The 26012-nt window shown below is 45.5% G+C and overlaps 1 protein-coding gene and 1 pseudogene across 1 annotated transcript, besides 3 other annotated features; one reads left to right on the forward strand and one right to left on the reverse strand.

Annotated features, from left to right (window-relative positions):
* Positions 2034-2624: an enhancer, noted in NCBI's record as "NANOG-H3K27ac-H3K4me1 hESC enhancer chr11:71216417-71217007 (GRCh37/hg19 assembly coordinates)". NCBI's record gives its function as "activates a minimal SCP1, AML or CMV promoter by ChIP-STARR-seq in naive H9 embryonic stem cells {active_cell/tissue: H9 hESC(naive)}" and the evidence as "EXISTENCE:reporter gene assay evidence [ECO:0000049][PMID:30033119]".
* Positions 2724-18750, reverse strand: S100A11P3 (S100A11 pseudogene 3; annotated as a pseudogene).
* Positions 23818-24319: an enhancer, noted in NCBI's record as "H3K4me1 hESC enhancer chr11:71238201-71238702 (GRCh37/hg19 assembly coordinates)". NCBI's record gives its function as "activates a minimal SCP1, AML or CMV promoter by ChIP-STARR-seq in naive H9 embryonic stem cells {active_cell/tissue: H9 hESC(naive)}" and the evidence as "EXISTENCE:reporter gene assay evidence [ECO:0000049][PMID:30033119]".
* Positions 23930-25332, forward strand: KRTAP5-7 (keratin associated protein 5-7). The gene has a single exon (NM_001012503.2). It carries the CDS (start codon positions 23964-23966, stop codon positions 24459-24461), a length of 498 nt encoding a protein of 165 aa, NP_001012521.1. The 5' UTR covers positions 23930-23963; the 3' UTR covers positions 24462-25332.
* Positions 24320-24819: an enhancer, noted in NCBI's record as "H3K4me1 hESC enhancer chr11:71238703-71239202 (GRCh37/hg19 assembly coordinates)". NCBI's record gives its function as "activates a minimal SCP1, AML or CMV promoter by ChIP-STARR-seq in naive H9 embryonic stem cells {active_cell/tissue: H9 hESC(naive)}" and the evidence as "EXISTENCE:reporter gene assay evidence [ECO:0000049][PMID:30033119]".
* Positions 25333-26012: the final 680 nt, after the last annotated feature.

A 26012-nucleotide genomic window follows, 5' to 3' on the forward strand; every position in this document is an offset into this window, starting at 1 on the left:
TGGAATTACCCTCGGAGGCTCCAAAACTTCCCACCTGCAGGAACTGAGCTCAGGGGCACCAGACCCTGGTCCCCAACCTTCAAGTTATAGGGTGGTGTCCCCCAGTTACAGGGCAGTGTCCCCAGTTACAGGATACTGTCCCTCAGTCATAGGTTAGTATCTTCTGGTTACAGGATAGCATCCCGTCAGTTACAGGGCAGTGTCCCCCCAGTCATAGCATAGTGTATCCCCAAGTTACAGGGTAGTGTCCCCAGTTATAAGGCAATGTTCCCCCATTATAGTGTCCCCAGTTATGAGGTAATGTCTCCCAGTTACAGGGTAATGTCCCCCAGTTATAGGGTGATGTCCCCACAGTTATAGGGTGATGTCCCCACAGTTATAGGGTGATGTCCCCACAGTTACAGGTGAATGTCCCCCCAGTTATAGGGTGATGTCCCCCAGTTATAGGTGAATGTCTCCCCAGTTATAGGGTAAGTCCCCACAGTTATAGGGTGACGTCCATCAGTTATAGGGCAATGTCTCCCCAGTTACTGGGCTGTGTCCCCCAATTACAGGGCAATGTCCCCTCATAGTGTCTCCCAGTTATACAGTATTGTCCCCCCATTATAAGGTAGTATCCCCAGTTACTAGATAGTGTCCCCCAGTAACAGGATAATGTCCCCCAATTGCAGGGCAATGTCCCCCATTATAGTGTCCCCAAGTTATAAGCTGGAGTCCCCCAGTAACAGGATAATAGGATAGTGTTCCCCAGTACAGGGCAGTGTCCCCAGTTACTCACTAGTGTCCCCTAGTAACAGGGCAGTGTCCACCCAGATACAGCCTAGTGTCCCTCAGTTACACAATAGTGTGTCCCCCAGTGGTAGGACAGTCTACTACTGAGTCCTCCTGGCATGAGTCGAGCTGAGATTAGGATAGGGTAATGACCCTTCAGTTTTGGGGAAGGGACCAGAGCTCGGCCAGTGAGAAGCTTCCAGCTCCGTCTGGCCATATCCAGGCTGCTGAGGGTCCTGGGCTCTGTCCTTAAACCTCATCACTGACATGACCCAGCAAACCTCCTCAAGAGGAAAAAGTCCCCTTGGGTCAAACACAGCTTGTGCAGTTCTCGGGGACCTCCTCCTGCCATCCTGGGGATGCTGTGGAGAATGGAGATGCACAGGGGGCTTTGTCCTCTCCTCTGCCTTTTGGAGAAAATATTTCACTCAAGGCAAACGCAGCCTGAGGGCAGCACAGGGGACCCCAAGGCTCACTGCGCATTTCTAGTCGCCCCCAAACGCGTGGGTTTTCCTCCTGTTCTCCTCGTGGGTGCCTTTGCTCATTCTCATCCTCCTGTTCTCATCCAGTCTGCCCAGTCTGACCGGCTCCCAGCAGCATCCGCCCAAAAGTTTCTCCCATGACAGCAGGAAGCAGCCTCAGACAATACATGATGGACAGGCCTGGCTGTGTTCCAATAGAACCCCGAGTCAGTCAGCCCGAGCCTCCCTCTCAGCTGGATACTGTTAATGACAGGGGTACACATTCCCCTCCCCTTTCCAATGTTTTAAAACTCTAGGACAGTGATTCTCAAACACTTTGGTCTCAAAACCCCTAAGAGCATTTGCTTATGTGGCTTTTATCTGTTGATAGTTGCTACCTGAGAAATTAAAACTGAGAAATCTAAAAATAGATTTATTTTAGGAAGTCACTAAAAATAATAAGCCCATTGCATGTTAACATGAAATAGCATATTTTTACAAAAAAATAAATTTTCTAAAAACAAAACATCTAAGTGAGAAGAGTGGCATTGTTGTACTTGTTTTGCAAATCTTTTCAGTGTCCGGTTTATGAGATGACAGCACTTTGGTTTGTTGCCAACCATTCACTTATAAAGAAACCCTTTTCCAATAATTAGCTGGGGCTGGTGCTAGAGCAATACCAGAAGTTCAGCGATGTCTGTAGATTTGTCCAAATGTATGTGAAGAGACTGTGTTTACTCAGTTTTTATGTTTGCAGTTAAATCTTCAATTTGATGAGTTATTTTATCATTGCAAAGTGGCAGTGTCAGGGTTTCCTTTATTGACTTATCCAGCAGGCATTCAGCTATATCAACTCTACATATGAAGTAAGGAGTTGAATTAAGCAGAGTAGTTAATAAAAAGCTTTTTTTTTTCATGTTTTAAAAATGTGACGTTGTCAGGCCTCTGAGCCCAAGCTAAGCCATCATGTCCTCTGTAACCTGCACGTACACATCCAGATGGCCGGTTCCTGCCTTAACTGATGACATTCCACCACAAAAGAAGTGAAAATGGCCTGTTCCTGCCTTAACTGATGACACTATCTTGTGAAATTCCTTCTCCTGGCTCATCCTGGCTCAAAAGCTCCCCTACTGAGCACCTTGTGACCTCCACTCCTGTCTGCCAGAGAACAACCCCCCTTTGACTGTAATTTTCCTTTACCTACCCAAATCTTATAAAACGGCCCCACCCCTATCTCCTTTCGCTGACTCTTTTCAGACTCAGCCCGCCTGCACCCAGGTGAAATAAACAGCCTTGTTGCTCACACAAAGCCTGTTTGGTGGTCTCTTCACACCGATGCGAGTGAAAACTGTTTTATTTCTACCCGCAGGCGGGGCCTGCCAGAGGAGGTAGGTGTGCTGGGCTCAGGGGACGTGTGGGCTGTGAGGAGGAGATGGTGACAGGAAGCTGGAAGGAAAGGGGGTGGCTTTGGAGGCCAGGCCGAAGGGGCCCTCAGGTCTGCTTGTAGGGTGGGATAGCCTTGAGGAGGGAGTCATGGCAATGCACAGCCAGGCTGCCAATTTTGAATTAAGAAATTCTTGGAAATCTAGCTGCCTGTTACTGTTGACATCCAGTCTTTTCGTCATGCAGTCAAGGACACTGCGGTCCTTCTGCTTCTTTGTGACGGCAGCCTCTTCTGTGTTCATGAAGCTTAGGAACTCCGTCTTGGAGAGAGCAGTTGTAACCATCCTCTCCAGGATCCTTCTGGAAAACAGCAATCAGGGACTCAATGCACCACTCAGTCTCTGCAGGGCTGGAGATTTTTGCCAGGTTGTAGCTGAGTGAGGCATGGGAGGCTGTACTTGGGAGTGGTGTGGAGACCTCTGGTAAAAAGCTTTTGAAAAGGATGATTCTATTCCATTAGGATTGGCTTATATGAGGGGAAAAATAGGATTGTATATAGTTAAAGAAAAAACAATTCATTGGCCCATGTCAGATCTAACAAATCAAAACACATGGAAGCTGTGGCGTCCTAATCAGGGAAAAGGAGCCAGGGTGGCAGGACCAAGGGAAAGCAAAAAGAGAAAGCAGATAAGCTACAAGTCTGCATTTCTTCACAGTCCAGCACACACAGCCCTCCTGTGCATATAGCTCACAATCTTCCCATGCCCAGGTATCACCAGACCCTCAGCTGATAGAAAAATGCAAGTTAGCTCACTGCAACCTTGGCATTGTAGGTATTGTATGCAGCCCTCTTCAGCACATGGCCCAGGAACCATCCTGTAAAATCCCCTGCAAGCCTTTGTCTCCTTGCAGTCAGCTCCTCTTCTCCTGGCCTGCCCATTGCCTTCTTGCAATGTACTTCCTTCCTTTCTTTAATAAATCTGCCTTTTTTTAAAACCTACAAGTTTCTTGGTAAACTCTTTTACCCCTGTGACACCAGCCTCAGATAGTCGCCATCACCCACCATAGAAGCTACTCCTGGAGAGCTGATTATTTTTAATTTGCAGATAATTTATTCGTGTATTTTTCAAATACGTATTGCGACTCCTCTTCTGGTTCTGATGGAACAGCTCATATTTGAGCTACAGAATCACTGAGAACAAGTAGGAAAGCCAGAAAAAATTAACACAAAACAGCAGTTGAAAGCACTAGAGAGAAACCCAGGTGTCCAGGACAGGAGGTGCCTGGATCCTGGTGAGAAGGGAAATGAATGCATCAGGTGCCAGCGCTCCACTCTCCTCCCGTGGGGCCTCTGCCCATTCGTTAGCGACAGAGAGAACAAGAGCACAAGCAGAAAGCAGCTGAGGCATTGGCAGTTCCTTCCGAAAATCAGACTTTAGGGTGACAAAGGCAGCCAGAGCTTGCAGGGCAAAGCTTCCAGGGAAAAGAAGAGCTCAGAGAAGTGAGTCCAGTGTGCAGCAGCTCCTCTTCCCTTGAAGATTATGAAACTGCCTGGGGAAAGAGGACAAGGAGCTAAGCAAAAAGCATCCATGAAGAGCCTTTAAAGCAAAACAGAGATTATGGAGGTTTTGTAGCTCTGGAAAATAAATATTTAATTTTAGGATTAATAAGAAAGGGCTTGGTAAAAACTTAAGGCTTTCTATTGAAACCCCTCAAGACTATATACTGGGAGAAGTACAGGCCAGAAATAGAGACTCCTTCACAAAGAATAAAGCCTGGCCTCTTATCTTACTGCCTCACTGGATCAATGTGATCTGCTGCTTGTCTAACTGTTTCGCAGAAGGAAAACAAATGGTCTCTGCAAGAAAGTAACATCACTCAAAACCTTTCTCAGTTTTTTATACTCTTTATCTGGTATTCAATAAAAGATCACTAGGAACTCTATAAAAATATACTTAAAATGTAATATAAATCATAATACATACAAAGCTATAAAAATATATTCAAAATATCAAACCCAACATAAGCAGAAGAAGAAAAAAATCCAGATAAGAACAGAAATCAGTGAAATTAGAGACAAAAAATAGAGAAAATAAATGAGACAAAAATCTAGTTCTTTAAAAAAAATCAGTAAAATTAACAAACCTCTTGCTAGACCAACAAAGAAAAAAAAGAGAGGATACAAGGATACAAACTATAAGCTTCAGGAATGGATACCAAGTTTGGGGATATCACTACAGACCCCACAGACATGAACCGGATAATGAGCAAACGGTGCAAGCAACTCTACACATAGAAATTCAACAGCTTATGTGAAGCAGACCAACTCCTCAAAAAGCACAAACTACCAACATTCAGCCAGGACAAAATAGATAATTTGGATAGCTCTATAATTATTAGGGGAATTGAATGTGTAGTTTTAAAATGCCAAAAGAAAGTTGGAATTTTAAATTTTCAGATGCAGAGAATTACCAAATTTTTAAAGACTGAACACCAATTCTACATAATCTCTGGAAAATAGTGGAGAAGAGAACCCTTCCAAATTCATTTTAAGGGGCCAGTATTACCCTGATAGCAAAACCAGACAACGACAATACAAAAAAAGAAATAACCAATGCCCCTCATGAACATAGACACAAAATCTTCAACAAAAGAAAGCAAATAGAATCCAGCAATATATTAAAGAATTACAAACCATGACCAAGTGGAGTTTATTCCAAGCATGTAAGACTAGCTCCACATTTGGAAGTAAATCAATGTGATCCACTGTGCTAACAGGCTGTAGAAGAAAACTCACACAATTGCATCAATTGGGACACAAAGAAAGCATTTGGAAATTTTTACCACCTGTTCATAATTTTTAAAAAACTCAGCAAACTAGGATTAGAGTGTCACTTCATCATCTACAAAAAACCTATAGCCAATTTTAGGCTTAATGGTGATAACTGAATGTTTTCCCCTAACATTTGGAGCAATTACAAGTGTCCACTCTCACCACTCTTCAACATAATGAAGTTCTAGCCAGGGCAATAAGGCAAGAGAACTAGAAGATATACAGATGAGAAATGAAGAAATATTTGCACACACCATAGTAGTCTATGTATAAAATCTCAAGGAATCTACAACAAAAACCCAAGAACTAATAACAGTGAGTTCAGCAAGGTCTGAGGATTTAGATCGACACACAAACATCAATCATTTCTCAACCTTACATCTGATTAGGTGTGAATATCAAAAATATATAAGGAATTCAACCAACTTAACAGCAAGAAAACAATTCAATTAAAAATGAGCAAAGGATCTGAACAGTTCTCAAATGAAGAGATATGAATAGCCAACAGATATATGAAAAATGCTCAACATCTCTAAGAATCAGGAAAATGCAAATTAAAGCCACAATGAGATATAACCTCACACCTGTTGGAATCACTGTTATCAAAAAGACAAAAGATAACAAGTGTTGATGAAGATGTAGATAAAAAGGGAACACTTGTACACTGTTAATGGGAATGTAAATTAGTACAGCTGTTAAAAAAATAGTATGGGGGTTCCTCAAAAACTAAAAATAGAATTACCATATTATCTGGCAATTCCACTTCTGGGTATATATCCAAAGGAACTGACATTGATTTGCTGAAGAGATATATTCACTCCCACATTTATTTCAGCATTATTCACAATAGCGAAGATATGGAAGCAAACTAACTGTCTATCAATGGATGAATGGGTAGAGAAAATGTGTATATACACAATGGAATACTATACAGCCTTTAAAAGGAAGGAATTTTTGTCATTCATGACAATGTGGATATAACTAGTGGGGCATTATGCTAAGTGAAAGAAGACAGGCACAGGAAGACAAATATTGTATGACCTCACTTATATCTGGAATCTTAAAAAGCTGGTCTCATAGAAAAAGTATAAAGGTGGTTACCAGGGGCTATGGGTAGGTGGGGAGGAGCAGGGATGGGGCCAGCAGGAGATGTTGACAGAAGGGCATGAAGTTTCAGTTAGACTGGAGGAATACGTTTTAGTGACCTATTGTACTTCATGGTAACCATGGTTTGTTCTCCTTGGGAAGAGTGGGGACGGGTCCCTGAAGCACCAAGTCACTGAAACTTCAATTTATTGTAAGGACAAATTCAAAAGTTGGAAATCAGAGATGAACCAATGTGGATCTTCCAGTGTTGACTCAATATGGGGCAAACATTTTCCCAAGAAAGAGATAGAGGGGAGAAAGCCAGAGTGGAAGGATTACCCCGAGGGCTCTAGGCACAGGGGTGTCCTGGGGATTGTGAGAATTAAAATGTAAACTCCTCACCTAGGTGACAACGGCACGTGGGTGCGAAATTTCAGGCATGATTTTTTTTCCCATCCAGCTCCCAGACTGAGAGAGACTCATTTTAATGCCCTCTGCTGTTACCAACATACGGAACCTCTCGAGGCAACTCTTTCATGGAGTGGGAAGCCGTTCGATGTCTCAGCTTTATGCTGAGATTCAATTGATTTAGTCTTCACCATGAAGTTCTTAAATCCAAGGCCCCGAAGTTCCTAGAACTACCAGATCCCTCAGAGTATTCACCCTGGCTTCATGCTTCCTAATCTCGTGGAATTTCTCTAATGCTACAGGAAACACAGCCATGCACTTAAACAGATGTCTGTTTTTACCAAGAATTTTCAATCATAGCCAGAAACATACCGGGTTCACTGTTTTTCCAGAAGTGGATGTCTACCTTAGAGTTTTCAGGAGGCTTCAAAACATGGCAACCTGAAGTCCCTAGCCTCCAGTAGAAAAATTCTTTCCTTACATTTATGACAGTTTTGCCTTATGTGTTGTGAGGAGCAGTCAAGTTCCGGAGACAGAAATCCGGAAGCACACACTGTCAGGGTCCCTGTTCCTTCCCCTAGGTCGTATCCATGAACCATCCCTTCACTGCTGCCTTGGGAGAGGGGAAGGTGTTCGGGCTGAGGATGAGATCAAACCAAAGTTTAACCACACCTCAGCATTCTATGACTTCACATCGCTGAGTCCATAAGAGAACCAGGACCCTCCAGACCCAGAAAATACTTGGGTGGATCCAAGATGGCCTGGTTCAGCCAAGATGGCTGAATAGGAACAGCTCCGGTCTACAGCTCCCAGCATGAGTGATGCAGAAGACAGGTGATTTCTGCATTTCCATCTGAGGCACCGGGTTCATCTCACTAGGGAGTGCCAGACAGTGGGTGTAGGACAGTGGGTGCAGCACACCGTGTGTGAGCCGAAGCAGGGCGAGGCATTGCCTCACTGGAGAAGTGCAAGGGGTCAGGGAGTTCCCTTTCCTAGTCAAAGAAAGGGGTGACAGATGGCACCTGGAAAATCAGGTCACTCCCACCCTAATACTGCGCTTTTCCAATGGGCTTAAAAAACGGCACACCAGGAGATTATATCCTGCACCTGGCTCGGAGGGTCCTACGCCCATGGAGTCTTGCTGATTGCTATTACAGCAGTCTGAGATCAAACTGCAAGGTGGCAGCAAGGCTGGGGGAGGGGCGCCTGCCATTGCCCAGGCTTGATTAGGTAAACAAAGCAGCTGGGAAGCTCAAACTGGGTGGAGCCCACCACAGCTCAAGGAGGCTTGCCTGCCTCTGTAGACTCCACCTCTGGGGGCAGGGCACAGACAAACAAAAAGACAGCAGTTACCTCTGCAGACTTAAATGTCCCTGTCTGACAGCTTTGAAGAGAGTAGTGGTTCTCCCAACATGCAGCTGGAGATCTGAGAATGGGCAGACTGCCTCCTCAAGTGGGTCCTTGACCCCTGAGCAGCCTAACTGGGAGGCACCCCCCATTAGGGGCAGACTGACACCTCACACAGCCGGGTACTCCTCTGAGACAAAACTTCCAGAGGAATGATCAGGCAGCAGCATTTGCGGTTCACCAAGATCTGCTGTTCTACAGCCACCGCTGCTGATACCCAGGCAAGCAGGGTCTGGAGTGGACCTCTAGCAAACTCCAACAGACCTGCAGCTGAGGGTCCTGTCTGTTAGAAGGAAAACTAACAAACAGAAAGGACATCCACACCAAAAACCCTTCTGTACATCACCATCATCAAAGACCAAAAGTAGACAAAACCACAAAGATGGGGAAAAAACAGAGCAGAAAAACTGGAAACTAAAAAGCAGAGCGCTTCTCCTCCTCCAAAGGAACACAGCTCCTCACCAGCAACAGAACAAAGTGGACAGAGAATGACTTTGATGAGCTGAGAGAAGAAGGCTTCAGACGATCAAACTACTCCGAGCTACAGGAGGAAATTCAAACCAATGGCAAAGAAGTTAAAAACTTTGAAAAAAAAATTAGACGAATGGATAACTAGAATAACCAATGCAGAGAAGTCCTAAAAGGAGCTGATGGAGCTGAAAGCCAAGGCTTGAGAACTACGTGAAGAATGCAGAAGCCTCAGGAGCTGATGTGATCAACTGGAAGAAAGGGTATCAGTGATGGAAGATGAAATTAATGAAATGAAGTGAGAAGGGAAGTTTAGAGAAAAAGGAATAAAAAGAAATGAACAAAGCCTCCAAGAAATATGGGACTATGTGAAAAGACCAAATCTACATCTGATTGGTGTACCTGAAAGTGACGGGGAGAATGGAACCAAGTTGGAAAACACTCTGCAGGATATTTTCCAGGAGAACTTCCCCAATCTAGCAAGGCAGGCCAACTTTCAGATTCAGGAAATACAGAGAACGCCACAAAGATACTCCTTGAGAAGAGCAACTCCAAGACACATAATTGTCAGATTCACCAAAGTTGAAATGAAGGAAAAAATGTTAAGGGCAGCCAGAGAGAAAGGTCGAGTTACCCACAAAGGGAAGCCCGTCAGACTAACAGCAGATCTCTCGGCAGAAACTCCACAAGCCAGAATAGAGTGAGGGCCAATATTCAACATTCTTAAAGAAAAGAATTTTCAACCCAGAATTTCATATCCAGCCAAACTAAGCTTCATAAGTGAAGGAGAAATAAAATACTTTACAGACAAGCAAATGCTGAGAGATTTTGTCACTACCAGGCCTGCCCTAAAAGAGCTCCTGAAGGAAGCGCTAAACATGGAAAGGAACAACCAGTACTAGCCACTGCAAAAACATGCCAAAATATAAAGACCATCAAGGCTAGGAAGAAACTGCATCAACTAACGAGCAAAATAACCAGCTAACATCATAATGACAGGACCAAATACACACATAATAATATTAACTTTAAATGTAAATGGGCTAAATGCTCCAATTAAAAGACACAGACTGGCAAATTGGATAAAGAGTCAAGACCCATCAGTGTGCTGTATTCAGGAAACCCATCTCACGTGCAGAGACACACATAGGCTCAAAATAAAGGGATGGAGGAAGATCTACCAAGCAAATGGAAAACAAAAAAAGGCAGGGGTTGCAATCCTAGTCTCTGATAAAACAGACTTTAAACCAACAAAGTTCAAAAGAGACAAAGAGGCCATTACATAATGGTAAAGGGATCAATTCAACAAGAAGAGCTAACTATCCTAAATATATATGCACCCAATACAGGAGCACCCAGATTCATAAAGCATCATAAAGCAAGTCCTTAGTGACCTACAAAGAGACTTAGACTCCCACACAATAATAATGGGAGACTTTAACACCCCACTGTTAACATTAGACAGATCAACGAGACAGAAAGTTAACAAGGATACCCAGGAATTGAACTCAGCTCTGCACCAAGCAGACCTAATAGACATCTACAGAACTCTCCACCCCAAATCAACAGAATATACATTTTTTTCAGCACCACACCACACCTATTCCAAAATTGACCACATAGTTGGAAGTAAAGCACTCCTCAGTAAATGTAAAAGAACAGAGATTATAACAAACTGTCTCTCAGACCACAGTGCATCAAACTAGAACTCAGGACTAAGAAACTCACTCAAAACCGCTCAACTACATGGAAACTCAACAACCTGCTCCTGAATGACTACTGGGTACATAACAAAATGAAGGCAGAAATAAAGATGTTCTTTGAAACCAAGGAGAACAAAGACACAACATACCAGAATCTCTGGGACACATTCAAAGCAGTGTGTAGAGGGAAGTTTATAGCACTAAATGCCCACAAGAGAAAGCAGGAAGGATCCAAAATTGACACCCTAACATCACAATTAAAAGAACTAGAAAAGCAAGAGCAAACACATTCAAAAGCTAGCAGAAGGCAAGAAATAACTAAAATCAGAGCAGAACTGAAGGAAATAGAGACACAAAAAACCCTTCAAAAAATTAATGAATCCAGGAGCTGGTTTTTTGAAAAGATCAGCAAAATCGATAGACTGCTAGCAAGACTAATAAAGGAGAAAAGAGAGAAGAATCAAATAGACACAATAAAAAATGATAAAGGGGATATCACCACCGATCCCACAGAAATACAAACTACCATCAGAGAATACTACAAACACCTCTACGCAAATAAACTAGAAAATCTAGAAGAAATGGATAAATTCCTCAACACATACACCCTCCCAAGACTAAACCAGGAAGAAGTTGAATCTCTGAATAGACCAATAACAGGCTCTGAAATTGTGGCAATAATCAATAGCTTACGAATCAAAAAAAGTGCAGGACCAGATGGATTCACAGCCGAATTCTACCAGAGGTACAAGGAGGAGCTGGTACCATTCCTTCTGAAACTATTCCAATCAATAGAAAAAGAGGGAATCCTCCCTAACGCATTTTATGAGGCCAGCATCATCCTGATACCAAAGCCTGGCAGAGACACAACCAAAAAAGAGAATTTTTGGCCAATATCCTTGATGAACATTGATGCAAAAATCCTCAATAAAATACCGGCAAACCGAATCCAGCAGCACATCAAAAAGCTTATCCACCATGATCAAGTGGGCTTCATCCCTGGGATGCAAGGCTGGTTCAACATACACAAATCAATACATGTAATCCAGCATATAAACAGAACCAAAGACAAAACCCACATGATTATCTCAATAGATGCAGAAAAGGCCTTTGACAAAATTCAACAACGCTTCATGCTAAAAACTCTCAATAAATTAGGTATTGATGGTGGGACATATCTCAAAATAATAAGAGCTATCTATGACAAACCCACAGCCAATATCATACTGAATGAGCAAAAACTGGAAGCATTCCCTTTGAAAACTGGCACAAGACAGGGATGCCCTCTCTCACCACTCCTATTCAACATAGTTTTGGAAGTTCTGGCCAGGGCAATTAGGCAGGAGAAGGAAATAAAGGGTATTCAGTTAGGAAAAGAGGAGGTCAAATTGTCCCTGTTTGCAGATGACATGATTGTGTATCTAGAAAACCCCATTGTCTCAGCCCAAAATCTCCTTAAGCTGATAAGCAACTTCAGCAAAGTCTCAGGATACAAAATCAATGTACAAAAATCACAAGCATTGTTATACACCAATAACAAACAGAGAGCCAAATCATGAGTGAACTCCCATTCACAATTGCTTCAAAGAGAATAAAATACCTAGGAATCCAACTTACAAGGGATGTGAAGGACCTCTTCAAGGAGAACTACAAACCACTGCTCAAGGAAATAAAAGAGGATACAAACAAATGGAAGAACTTTCCATGCTCATGGGTAGGAAGAATCAATATCATGAAAATGGCCACACTGCCCAAGGTAATGTATAGATTCAATGCCATCCCCATCAAGCTACCAATGCCTTTCTTCACAGAATTGGAAAAAACTACTTTAAAGTTCATATGGAACCAAAAAAGAGCCCGCATTGCCAAGTCAATCCTAACCCAAAAGAACAAAGCCAGAGGCATCACGGTACCTGACTTCAAACTATACTACAAGTCTACAGTAACCAAAACAGTATGGTACTGGTACCAAAACAGAGATATAGATCAATGGAACAGAACAGAGCCCTCAGAAATAATGCCGCATATCTACAACCATCTGATCTTTGACAAACCTGACAAAAACAAGCAATGGAGAAAGGATTCCCTATTTAATAAATGGTGCTGGGAAAACTGGCCTGGCTAGCCATATGGAGAAAGCTGAAACTGGATCCCTTCCTTACACCTTATACAAAAATTAATTCAAGATGGATTAAAGACTTAAATGTTAGACCTAAAACCATAATAACCCTAGAAGAAAACCCAGGCAATACCATTCAGGACATAGGCATGGGCAAGGACTTCATGTCTAAAACACCAAAAGCAATGGCAACAGAAGCCAAAATTGACAAATGGGATCTAATTAAACTAAAGAGCTTCTGCACAGCAAAAGAAACTACCATCAGAGTGAACAGGCAACCTACAAAATGGGAGAAAATTTTCACAACCTACTCATCTGACAAAGGGCTAATATCCAGAATCTACAATGAACTCAAACAAATTTACAAGAAAAAAAACAACCCCCTCAAAAAGTGGGCAAAGGATATGAACAGACACTTCTCAAAAGAAGACATTTATGCAGCCAAAAAACACATGAAAAAATGCTCATCATCACTGGCCATCAGAGAAATGCAAATCAAAACCACAATGAGATACCATCTCACACCAGTCAGAATGGCGATCATTAAAAAGTCAGGAAACAACAGGTGCTGGAGAAGATGTGGAGAAATAGGAACACTTTTACACTGTTGGTGGGACTGTAAACTAGTTAAACCATTGTGGAAGTCACTGTGGCAATTCCTCAGGGATCTAGAACTAGAAATACCATTTGACCCAGCCATCCCATTACTGGGTATATACCCAAAGGATTATAAATCATGCTGCTATAAAGACACATGCACACGTATGTTTATTGTGGCACTATTCACAATAGCAAAGACTTGGAACCAACCCAAATGTCCAACAACGATAGACTGGATTAAGAAAATGTGGCACATATACACCATGGAATACTATGCAGCCATAAAAAATGAAGAGTTCATGTCCTTTGTAGGGACATAGATGAAACTGGAAACCATTATTCTCAGCAAACTATCGCAAGGACAAAAAACCAAACACCGCATGTTCTCACTCATAGGTGGGAATTGAACAATGAGAACACATGGACACAGGAAGGGGAACATCACACTCCGGGGACTGTTGTGGTGTGGGGGGAGGGGGGAGGGATAGCATTAGAAGATATACCTAATGCTAAATGACGAGTTAATGGGTGCAGCACACCAACATGGCACATGTATACATATGTAACAAACCTGCACATTGTGCACATGTACCCTAAAAAGTGTAATAATAAAATTAAAAAATAAGTAATATAACAATGTTGACAAAGATGTTAGGAAAAAACAATTTTGAACAGTCAGAGTTCAAAATTGGTAGAGTCATTATGAAAACTGGGAGGGAGGTTATTTAAAAATTTAAAAAAACAACCTACCCTACAATGCAGCAATTCCACTTCTGTGTGTGTAACTGAAGGGAATAAAAGCAGCATCTTGAAGAATTATCTGCCCCCCTGCCCCACGCCATGGTCACTGAAACAATATTCACAATTGCCAAGGTATAAAGACAAGCTAAATGTTTGTGGATGCTGAATGGATAAAGAAAATATGATATAAATAGACAATAAAATATTACTCAGCCATACAAAAGAATGAAATTGGCCAGGTGTGGTGGCTCACGCCTGTAATCCCAGCACTTTGGGAGGCTGAGACAGGCAGATCACCTGAGGTCAGGAGTTCGAGACCAGTCTGGCCAATATGGTGAAACCCCATCTCTACCAAAAATACAAAAATTAGCCAGGCGTAGTAGCATGTGCCTGTAATCCCAGCTACTCAGGAGGCTGAGGCAGGAGAATTGTTTGAACCCAGGAGGCGGAGGTTGCAGTGAGCTGAGATCATGCCACTGCACTCCAGCCTGGGCAACAGAGCGAGACTGTCTTAAAAAAAAAAAAAGTGAAATCCTGTTATTTCAACAGGATATGTTGATATATGATACACACATATATATTCATGTGACATATGATATACACACATATATATACATATGCACACATACATACATACATACATATAAATGACACATTCCAGGTAAGCTTCATACTAAAAAAGAGAAAATTATAAAATGATAATATTATAACTGTATTACAGTTGGGCACTGGGGAATATAGCGTTTAAATGACCAACCTCAGTTCATACTAAAAAAAATAAAATTTTGAAGTAAAATAACTAGATTATCTTATATTTGGGCAGATGCTTAGTGTTTGGAGAAAATTACTGAGTATAAATTTCTGTAGACTCCCATTAGAAACCTCTGAAGCATACGAAATCATAAAGCAGAACACACAATATCTGTTTACAGGACTTCTGGGATTTCTGAACCAAACACCATCACCACGCCTCTCGCACACTTCAGACACGATGCAAAAAAGGAAATTAGAAAATATTTCGCACAGAGTTCCTCAAACATAGGCAGGTGCAAGCGTGTTCCCAAAAGCAGTGGCCCAGCAAGCAGTGAGAACCATACAGGCCTTTACTCGCCAGGAGGAGGACTCTGATTTTCACTGTGACCTTTATAAAGGAAGATCACTAAACAGGAAGCGGAGTCTGTAGAAGGTTTAAGAGAATGAGACAGAAGAGCTCCTGAAGGCAGCAAGAGAAAGACCCCCAGGCTCTCAGAAGCGCCCTTGCCCGCTTTACCTGCTTGGCGGCGCCTCCTGCGGCCAGTTCCTCGGAGCATCCACCTGTGCAGGGCCCGCGTCCTCCCCTCCCCGCGCCAGCCTGAAGCCCCCGGGCAGCCTCGGTTTCTCCTTTTCTTCTGGATCTCCAGGGACTGCGCGGCACCTGGGGTCCTCTGGTGGGGAATGAATGAGTGAGTGAATGAATGAATGAGGAACAGGGTGGCCATCTGGGTCTCAGTGTCTGTCTGGGGGCGGGGTGGGGGGCGTCCCCTGATGGGTCCGGCTTGTCAGCGCCACTCCTGGGGGCTTCCCGTGGGGGTGGCACAGGGCAGGGCCCCCCCATCTCAGGGCTGCTTCCTGTGGGGAGGGTCCCCGAGAAGCGGAGCGTGGGCTGGTTTTTAGGGGGTAACCCACGAAGGTTCCGCCAGCCCCCGGTCGGTTCTGGGAACCCCCGGGCTTGAGGAACCTGCCCGGCACCGCCCTGGAACCCGGGCCTGCAGCCTCCTCGGGGCCTCGTCTCCTTCCTCCCAGGGAAGCTGTGGGGCAGGGACCTGGTGGACGGCGGGTGGGACCCGACTCCCTCCCATCCCCTCACGGTGGGGTCGCGGCTCTGGGGGCTCCTGGGGCCGCTGCCGGACCCTCAGCTCTGTCGCCGGGGGGCCGCAGTCTCGGGGCGGCACAGATGGGGCGGCTCCAAGGCTTCAGCCACAGACATTGGTTTCCTCTGTTGGGGGCGCGGAGGCCCAAGGTCAGGGAGTCTCAGGGTTTGCTTCCTTCCCAGGCCCCTCCTGGGCTGGGGGCGGGTGTCTCCTGCGCCCCCTCGGGCCGCCCTCTGCGGGTCTGTCTCCTCTCCCCATGCGGATCCCAGTGAGTCGGGATCAGGCCCACCCTGGGGATATCATTTAAACTGAAAGACCTGTTCAATGGCCCCACCTTCAAATCAGGCCCCGTCCTGAGGGATTGGGGACCAGGCCTTCCACGCAGTGTGGGGCACACACTTTAGCCTGTCACACAGGATTCCCTGGGCCCCTAAGTACTGCAGCCAGGGTGGCTCTGGAACTGGGTGTGGCAGAGAAGGGGGTTGTGTCTGTTTCGCGGGGTCCCTGCTGGAGACGTTTCCGGCACTTCTTGATAGTGACTTTAATCCTCAAGGCAGCTGCGTGTTTTTCATGTCACAGGCACAGAGGAGTTAAGTATGAATAACTTGCCCGGAATGGCACAGCTGGCAGTGCAGGGATCAGATTAGCTAAGAAGGAACTAAGTCAGGGGTCTTGACCTTGGCCTGAGAACGGTATAAGTGAGACACTGGGAGAACTGCGGAGCTCTGATGCCGCCTGGAGAACCATCCTGTGGGGGAGTGAGTTGGGGGGTACTAAAGGGTGTGAGCTTTCCTTCTGAGGCGATGAAACGTTCTATAACTGATTATGGTGACGGGTGCACAGCGCTGTGAATACGTTAAAAGCATTGAATTGTATACCTTAAGCGGGCTAATTGTGTGGCATATGAATTGTATCTCAATAAAGCTGTTACCAAAAAAAAGAAGAGGTGTCAGAGAGGTTGGGGAGCAGTGAAGCCGTGGTTGTACTGATGGACAGAGAGTTCTGGTGAGATCAAAGCATTGGAGAAAGAGAGCTAGAAAAAGGAGGGTGGCTGGAAGCGGGGTGCATGGGACAGACCCCAGTGGGGTGCCCTGCTGAGAACAAGGTCACAGATATCACCACAGGGATGAGAGGTGGGGAAGGATCATTTACTTGTGTGTGGAAATCACTAAAAATTAACCTAGAAATTGTGTTGGAAAAAGTAGTCACGAGCCAGAAGCTAAAATCATGAAGAAATTGGGAAGAGGTTGGCAAGGCATACCAGACAGCACATAATGGAAACAGAGATGAAGGCTCTGGAGAAGACAGAGTGGGATGGGCTGGCGGTGAGGGGAAGACATTACCCATTCTCTGGGACCAGTTCCCAAACTGAACACTTGGGCTTGTCAGTTTTCTTACTCGATTCCTTTCTATCCTTACATTTTTTGTGTCTAAAGATGTACCCAATTCTGAAAGTGAGATCTTTAACTCTCCCTCCATAGTCTTTTATTTTTATGATATGTGTTAATTTTTATTTCATGGCTCACTGCAGACTCGATTTCCCAGGCTCAATGATTTTCCCACCTAAGCCTCCTGAGTAGCTGGAACTACCGGTGTGCACCAGTATGCCTGGCTAATTTAAAACAATTTTTTTTTTCTAGAGATGATATCTTCCTATATTGCCAAAGCTGGTCTTGAACTCCTGGCCTCAAGTGATCCTCCTGCCTTGGCCTCCCTGGATTACAGGCACCCTGAGATTGCAGGCATGAGCCACTGTATTTGGCCTGTTTGGTGTTTGGTGCTTTGGCCCTAAATCCCAACTGCCAACTTGCTGCTGTCTGTCCTTTTCTTTTCCTTTCTGGTCATTTCATTTTATTTTATTTATTTTTGCTGTTATCCGTCTCCCTTTTTATGTTCAACGTGTCTCTATCACTTTGTTTTAGGTGAATTACTTGGAAACTGCACAACACACCCGCTGTTTTCAACAGAGTTCAGTCACCTCTTGAGGGCTCTTCTGATTCTTATCTTGGTAGAGCATCTCCTCAAGGATTTCTGCAGGTGAGTACACTGGTGACATGATGCTGTATTCTTGGTCGAGTACACTGGTGACGTGTTGCTGTATGCTTGGGTGAGTACACTGTGACATGTTGCTGTATGCTTGGGTGAGTACACTGGTGACATGTTGCTGTATGCTTGGGTGAGTATGCTGTGACATGTTGCTGTATGCTTGGGTGAGTACACTGGTGACATGTTGCTGTATGCTTGGGTGAGTACACTGGTGACATGTTGCTGTATTCTTGGGTGAGTATGCTGGTGACATGTTGCTGTATTCTTGGGCGAGTACACTGGTGACATGTTGCTGTATTCTTGGGTGAGTACACTGGTGACCTGTTGCTGTATTCTTGGGCGAGTACGCTGGTGACATGTTGCTGTATGATTGGGTGAGTACGCTGGTGACATGTTGCTGTATTCTTAGGCCAGTATGCTGGTGACATGATGCTGTATTCTTGGGCGAGTACGCTGGTGACATGTTGCTGTATTCTTGGGTGAGTGCATTGATGACGTGTTGCTGTATTCTTGGGTAAGTACACTGGTGATATGTTGCTGTATTCTTGGGCGAGTACACTCGTGACATGTTGCTGTATTCTTGGGTGAGTACACTGGTGACATGTTGCTGTATGCTTGGGTGAGTACACTGGTGACATGTTGCTGTATTCTTGGGCGAGTACACTCGTGACATGTTGCTGTATTCTTGGGCGAGTACACTGGTGACATGTTGCTGTATTCTTGGGCGAGTACATGTTGCTGTATTCTTGGGCGAGTACACTAGTGACATGTTGCTGTATTCTTGAGCGAGTACACTCGTGACATGTTGCTGTATTCTTGGGCGAGTACACTCGTGACATGTTGCCGTATTCTTGGGCGAGTACGCTGGTGACATGTTGCTGTATTCTTGGGCGAGTACATGTTGCTGTATTCTTGGGCGAGTACACTAGTGACATGTTGCTGTATTCTTGGGCGAGTACACTAGTGACATGTTGCTGTGTTCTTGGGCGAGTACACTCGTGACATGTTGCCATATTCTTGGGCGAGTACGCTGGTGACATGTTGCTGTATTCTTGGGCGAGTACATGTTGCTGTATTCTTGGGCGAGTACACTAGTGACATGTTGCTGTATTCTTGGGCGAGTACACTAGTGACATGTTGCTGTATTCTTGGGCGAGTACACTCGTGACATGTTGCTGTATTCTTGGGCGAGTACGCTGGTGACATGTTGCTGTATTCTTGGGCGAGTACATGTTGCTGTATTCTTGGGCGAGTACACTAGTGACATGTTGCCGTATTCTTGGGCGAGTACGCTGGTGACACGTTGCCGTATTCTTGGGCGAGTACGCTGGTGACACGTTGCCGTATTCTTGGGCGAGTACGCTGGTGACACGTTGCCGTATTCTTGGGCCAGTAGGCTGGTGACACGTTGCCGTATTCTTGGGCGAGTACGCTGGTGACACGTTGCCGTATTCTTGGGCGAGTACGCTGGTGACACGTTGCCGTATTCTTGGGCGAGTACGCTGGTGACACGTTGCCGTATTCTTGGGCGAGTACGCTGGTGACATGTTGCCGTATTCTTGGGCCAGTACGCTGGTGACATGTTGCCGTATTCTTGGGCGAGTACGCTGGTGACATGTTGCCGTATTCTTGGGCGAGTACGCTGGTGACATGTTGCTGTATTCTTGGGCCAGTACGCTGGTGACATGTTGCTGTATTCTTGGGTGAGTACGCTGGTGACATGTTGCTGTATTCTTGGGCGAGTACGCTGGTGACATGTTGCTGTATTCTTGGGTGAGAATGCTGAGGACATGCTGCTGTATTCTTGGGCGAGTACATTGGTGACATGCTGCTGTGTTCTTAGGTGAGTACACTGGTGAAACAATGCCCAATCGCACGGCCAAGAGATTTGAGGAGCAGGGACATCTGGTAAGCAGACTTCAGTTTCTTTTCAGTAATGTGCCCCTCTTATGCTCTCCTCAGGGTTTAGCATGCATCCCTTAAACAAAGAAAGTAGCCTCATATAAGCAATGGTTTTGTGACTAGAGTGCCTCAGTCCATTATTGCTGCTATAAGATAATAATTGACCTGGGTAATTGATAAAGAACAGAAATGTACTTTCTCAGAGTCCTGAAGGCTGGGAAGTCCAAGATCAAGGTGCTGATATCTGGTGTGGGCCTTCTTACTGTGTCTTCACATATTGGAAGGCAGAAGGGCAAGAGAGCATGAATATGTTGTCCTCACATGGCAGAAGAACAGAAAGGGGTGAATGCCCTCTCTCAAGTCCTTCTTGGAGCAGCACTAATTCATTCCAAGTACCTTTTGTTAGGCCCCACCTCCCAACACTCTTGCATTGGGGATGAAGTTTCTAATACATGAATTTTGGGGGACACATGCAGACCATGGCATAAAGGAACCTCTCTCCCCACATGGAGTACAACTGAGCAGGGAACCCAGCTGAGCAGCTGAAGTAAGCAGCCTAAGAGGAGTGAACACTCTGCCTGGGGAAGAGAGAAAACAACAGCAGAGAGACTTGTGAGATTTTCAGAAATAATTGAGTAGGGGAAAAGATTCCCCACAAACAACAAGATGAGGATAGATTATTCTTATTTGGATAGGAAAGGAAAGGATATTGTCTGGGTGCAGTGGCTCACACCTGCAATCCCAGCACTTTGGGAGGCCAAGGTAGGAGGATCACTGGAGGCCAGGAGTTTGAGACCAGCCAGAGCAACATGGCAAGGCCCCATCTCTACAAAAAGTTTAAAAGTTAGCTGGGTATGGTGATACATGCCTATATTCCCAGCTACCTAGGAGGCCAAGGCGGGAAGATTCCTTAAGCCCAGAAGTTTGAAGGTGCAGTAAGCTGTGGTCACGTCACTGCAATCCAGCCCAGGTGACAGAGGAAGACTTCATCTAAAAAAAAAAAAGTGATCCCCAGTAATATAGTTTGCATGCTTCCTCCAAATCTTATGTTGGTGGGGCCTGCTGGGAGGTGTTTGGATCATGGGTGTAGATTTTTCATGAATGGTTTAGCACCATCTCCTTGGTGATGAATAAGTTCGAGCAAGATCTGGTTGTTTAAAAATATGTGGCACTGACCAGGCATGGTGGCTCATGCATGTCATCTCAACACTTTGGGAGGCTGAGGTGGGCAGATCACCTGAGGTCAGGAGTTCGAGACCAGCCTGACCAACAGGGAGAAACCCTGTCTCTACTAAAAATACAAAATTAGCCAGGTGTGGTGGTGCATGCCTGTACTCCCAGCTATTCGGGAGGCTGAGGCAGGAGAATCACTTGAACCTGGGAAGCGGAGGTTGCGGTGAGCCGAGATCATGCCATTGTACTCCAGCCTGAGTAACAAGAGCAAAACTCCATCTCAAAAAAAAAATGTGTGGCCTCTGTCCCTCCACCAGCTCTCTCTTTCTCAGCTGTCACCATGTGGCATGCCTGCTCCTGCTTTGCCTTCTACCATGAATAAAAGCTCCCTGAGGGCCTCACCAGAAGCTGAGCAGATGTCGGTGCCATGCTTGTACAACTAGCAGAACCAGGAGCCAATTAAACCTTTTTTATTTATAAATTACCCAGCCTCAGATATTTCTTTATGGCAACACAAAAAATACAGAAAACTGTACCAGGAATGGTATGTTGCTATAAAGTCACCTGAAAATGTGGAGGTGACTTTGGAACTGGGTAATGGCCAGAGATTGGAAGATTTTTGGAGGGCTCAGAAGAAGACAGAAAGATGAGGAAAAGGTGGGAACTCCTTTGAGACTGGTTAAATGGTTGTGTCCAAAATAATTAAAGTGATAAGAACAATGAAGTCCAGCCTGATGAGGTCTCAGATGGAAATGAGGAACTTACTGAAAACTAAAACAAAGATCACTTGTGTTACACCTTGGCAGAGAGCTTGACCATATTGTGCTTCATGCCCTAGGGGGCTCTGAAAATTTCTACTTAGGAGTGATGACTTAGGATATCTAGTGGAAGAAATTTCTAAGCAGCAAACATTCAAGCTGTGGCCTGACTGAATCTAACATCGTATTCTCACATGCAAGAGCACATAAATGAATTAAAGTTGGAATTTATATTTAAAAGGGAATCAAAGTGTAAAAGTTTGGAAACTTTGCAGCATGGCCATGTGGCAGAGAATGAAAAAGCATTATCAGGAGAGGAATCCAAGCAGGCTATAGAGCAACCACCTGCTAGAGATATTAGCATGACTCAAAAAACAAACAAAAAAACCCAAGTGCTAATAGCCAACACAATTGGAAAAGACTTCAAATGCATTTCAAAAGTGTTTGAGACAGCCCCTCTCATCACTGACCTAGAGGTCTAGGAGGACACCATGGTTTCAGGGGCTCACCCCAGGCCCTCACTGCCCTGCATAGCCTTGGAGCACTGCTCCCCACACATAGGCTACTCCAGCTCCAGCCTCAGCTCAAAAGACCCCAAATGTAACTCTGGCTTCAGAGGGTGCAAGCCATAAGCCTTGGTAGCTCCCATGTGGTGTTAAGCCTGTAGGTGCGTAGAATACAAGAGTGAAGGAGGCTTGGGATCCTCTACCTAGATTGCAGAGGATTTATGAGAAAGCCTGGGCACTCAGGCAGAAGCCTGCTGCAGGGGCAGAGCCCGCACAGAGGATATATACTAGGGCAGTGTAGAGGGGAAATGTGGAGTAGGAGGCCCACACAGAGTCCCCACTGGGGCATTGCTTAATTGAGCTGTGGGGAGGAGGACACCATCCTCCAGGCCCCAGAATGGTAGAGCCACTGGCAGCTTACATCTTGAGCATGGAGAAGCTGCAGGCACACAACTCCAACCCATGAGAGCAGCTGCAGGGTGCGAACCTTGCAAAGCCACAAGGGTGGAGTTCCCCAAGGCCTTAGGAGCCCACCCCTCACTCCAGTGTACCCTGGATGTGGGACTGGGAGTCCAAGGACATTATTTTGGAGCTTTAAGATTTAATGGCTGCCCTGCTGGATTTCAGACATGCATGGGGTCTGTAGCCCCTTCCTTTGGGCTGATTTCTCCCTTTTGGAATGGGAATGTTTACCCAATGCCTCCACCCTCATGTATCTTCAAAGTAAATAATGTGTTTTGATTTTCACAAGTTCATTGGTGGAAGGGACTTGGACTTGGGACTTTGGACTTGATGTTGGAATGAGTCAAGACATTGAGAGGACTGTTGGGAAGAGATGATTCTATTCTGCAATGTAAGGACATGAGATTTGAGGGGTCAAGGGGATAATGATACAGTTGGGATGTCCCCTCCAAATCTCTTGTCGAAATGTAATCCCCAGTGTTGAAGGAGGGGCCTGCAAGGAGGTGTTTAGGTCATGGGGGCGGATCCCTCATGACTGGCTTAGCGCCATCTCCTTGGTGATGAGTGTGTTCACTCAGATCTGGTTGTTCGCAAGTGTGTGGCCCCTCCTCACCCCTTGCTCCCACTCTCACGATGTGGTGAGCCTGCTCCTGCTTCACCTTCCACCATGAGGAAAAGCTCCCTGAGGGCCTGCCCAGAAGCTGAGCAGAGGTGGGTGCCATGCTTGTGCAGCCTGCAGAACCATGAGCCATTCTAACCTTTCCTTTATAAATTACCCAGCTTCAAGTATTTCTTTAGAGCAATGCAAAACTGAGAATGGCATGAGTAAAATATAAAGACCATGGATAATTTTGAAATCTAAAAATGTGAAATTAATATTCCTGGGGGAGTCAACACAGGAAAGATGAGAGCACGTGGGCAAAGGCTGTTGCCCATTGGTCACATGTGGTCAGCAGAGAGCAGGTGACCAGCACCCTGGAGCTTTGCGGGAAGCACCAGACAGCCTGGAGCTGAGGTTTCAATTGTAGGGGCCAAAACAAATAGGGAAAAAGACAAATTTAGTAAACAAAGAAAGTAGATGCTCAACTGAGCCAGGAGGAAGTCACTAGCAAAGAGGAAAAAAAATAGAGCTCTGGAAAAATAGCGTAAACAGTCACAAGGAAGCGACCCTGTATTGTGCCTGACCTCTGGACAGGTATATAAAGAGCCCGGGCTCAGGGGGCTCCACACCTGCACCTCCCTCTCACCTGCTCCTCTACCTGCTCCACCCTCAATCCACCAGAACCATGGGCTGCTGTGGCTGTTCCGAAGGCTGTGGCTCCGGCTGTGGGGGCTGTGGCTCCGGCTGTGGGGGCTGTGGCTCTGGCTGTGGGGGATGTGGCTCCAGCTGCTGTGTGCCCGTCTGCTGCTGCAAGCCCGTGTGCTGCTGTGTGCCAGCCTGTTCCTGCTCCAGCTGTGGCTCCTGTGGGGGCTCCAAGGGAGGCTGTGGCTCCTGTGGGGGCTCCAAGGGGGGCTGTGGCTCTTGTGGGGGTTCTAAGGGGGGCTGTGGTTCTTGTGGCTGCTCCCAGTGCAGCTGCTATAAGCCCTGCTGCTGCTCCTCAGGCTGTGGGTCATCCTGCTGCCAGTCCAGCTGCTGTAAGCCCTGCTGCTGCCAGTCCAGCTGCTGTAAGCCCTGCTGCTGTTCCTCAGGCTGTGGGTCATCCTGCTGCCAGTCCAGTTGCTGCAATCCCTGCTGCTCCCAGTCTAGCTGCTGTGTCCCCGTGTGCTGCCAGTGTAAGATCTGAGGCTCTGGACTCAGGTCTCATGTGAGTCCTGCTAACCCCATTTTCCGAAGCTGTGACCTGTCCTTCATCGTTGAGCCCCAAACCACTGCTCAGGGTCCATTCCTCACTATAAGATGAAGCCATATCTGCCTGCCTTTTCCTAAGGAGAGTCCACCCTAATTAATGTCCATTCCCTCCTAACAAATTCTCTTCCCAAGTCAACTGCAACTGCGGCTGAATCACCCCTCACCCGCTAGCCTTGCCTTTGCTTGTGTATTCAGAGGCCTGAGCTCCTGAACCCACTTGAAGTCCTGTCTTTTCCAGCTGGAGCAGCTGGGCATGAGTGTCCCACCTGCAACAAGGTGGGCGTTTAAGAGGCTTCCTTGGAGTGGCTTTGCCTGTCCAACACTCTGCTTTATCTTAAATGAAAAGTTGCAAACTAATAAAAATACCATGCCGACAAACTGAAACACATATCTTGCTGATTTCTCTGTTGTTCGGGGTCATTACTATGGCTATGGCTATTGTTTTCTTGTTCTTGTTGTGTTTCGGACTGCGTGGGTCTGATGCTGATGTTGCTGGAAGGTGCTAGGATGGGGCTGGCTGTCTCCTCTGCCTCTCATCTCCTTCCTGGCTGACCCCTCTTTTCTCAGAACCCCTCTCTTCCTAGGTCTTTCCAGCTATTGATCTGATGGAGACAGGACTGTTCCTCAGGCCAGGGCCACAGAAGCAGAAGAGGCTGCTGAAAACTCTGGGGAGTTCAGACTTGCCTCCTTTCCCTGGTCCAGGCCTCTGCCATCTTCCTTTGGGAAGTTTTTGTAACCAACTTACTCTGATTGTCTTTGTTGTTACACAGCCTGTTGCCTCTGTAAATAAACACTCCTAGCACCAAGCCAATATTGCTTTTTAAGAATTTTGAAAGGGCCGGGCGTAGTGGCTCACGCCTATAATCCCAGCACTTTGGGAGGCCGAGGCAGGCGGATCACTTGAGGTTAGGAGTTTGCGACCTGACTGGCCAACATGGTGAAACCCTGTCTCTACTAAAAATATAAAAATTAGCTGAGTGTGGTGGCACGTGTCTGTAATCCTGGCTACTTCGGAGGCTGAGGGAGGAGAATGGCTTCAACCTGGGAGGGGGAGGTTGTGATGAGTCGAGGTCGCGCCACTGCACTCCATTCTGGGCGACAGAGCAAGACTCCGTCAAAAAAAAAAAAAGGCAATATTAATAGAGTTGAATTATTTCAAGTTATTTGGAAACACAGCAATTTATTGGTGGGATATGTCCTAAGCATAGAAAGAACACAAAAATAAAATTCCTAAGCTATTTTTAGTAGTCATGGTGGCAGCAGTGGTGTCGTTATTCTGCTGTGAATGCTGTATGGAAAAAGCAAATGCATAATTAGGTTGGTATCAGAACTAGAATTTTTGGTGTGGAACTGATGAGGTTAAGTAAAAACCTTGTCATCCTGAATTTGAATTAGATATATCGATATGAAATCATGATGTTTTTTATCCAAATAAAAATAGTTTCCTCCTCCATTGGAAGACTTAGAAATAATGAGCCATCCTGTA

This window comes from Homo sapiens, chromosome 11 (genome assembly GCF_000001405.40).
Source record: "Homo sapiens chromosome 11, GRCh38.p14 Primary Assembly".
Classification (NCBI taxonomy): domain Eukaryota; kingdom Metazoa; phylum Chordata; class Mammalia; order Primates; family Hominidae; genus Homo; species Homo sapiens.

Coding starts and splice junctions, on each gene's coding strand:
- KRTAP5-7 (NM_001012503.2), top strand. CDS start 23,964: ATGGGCTGCTGTGGCTGTTCCGAAGGCTGTGGCTCCGGCTGTGGGGGC.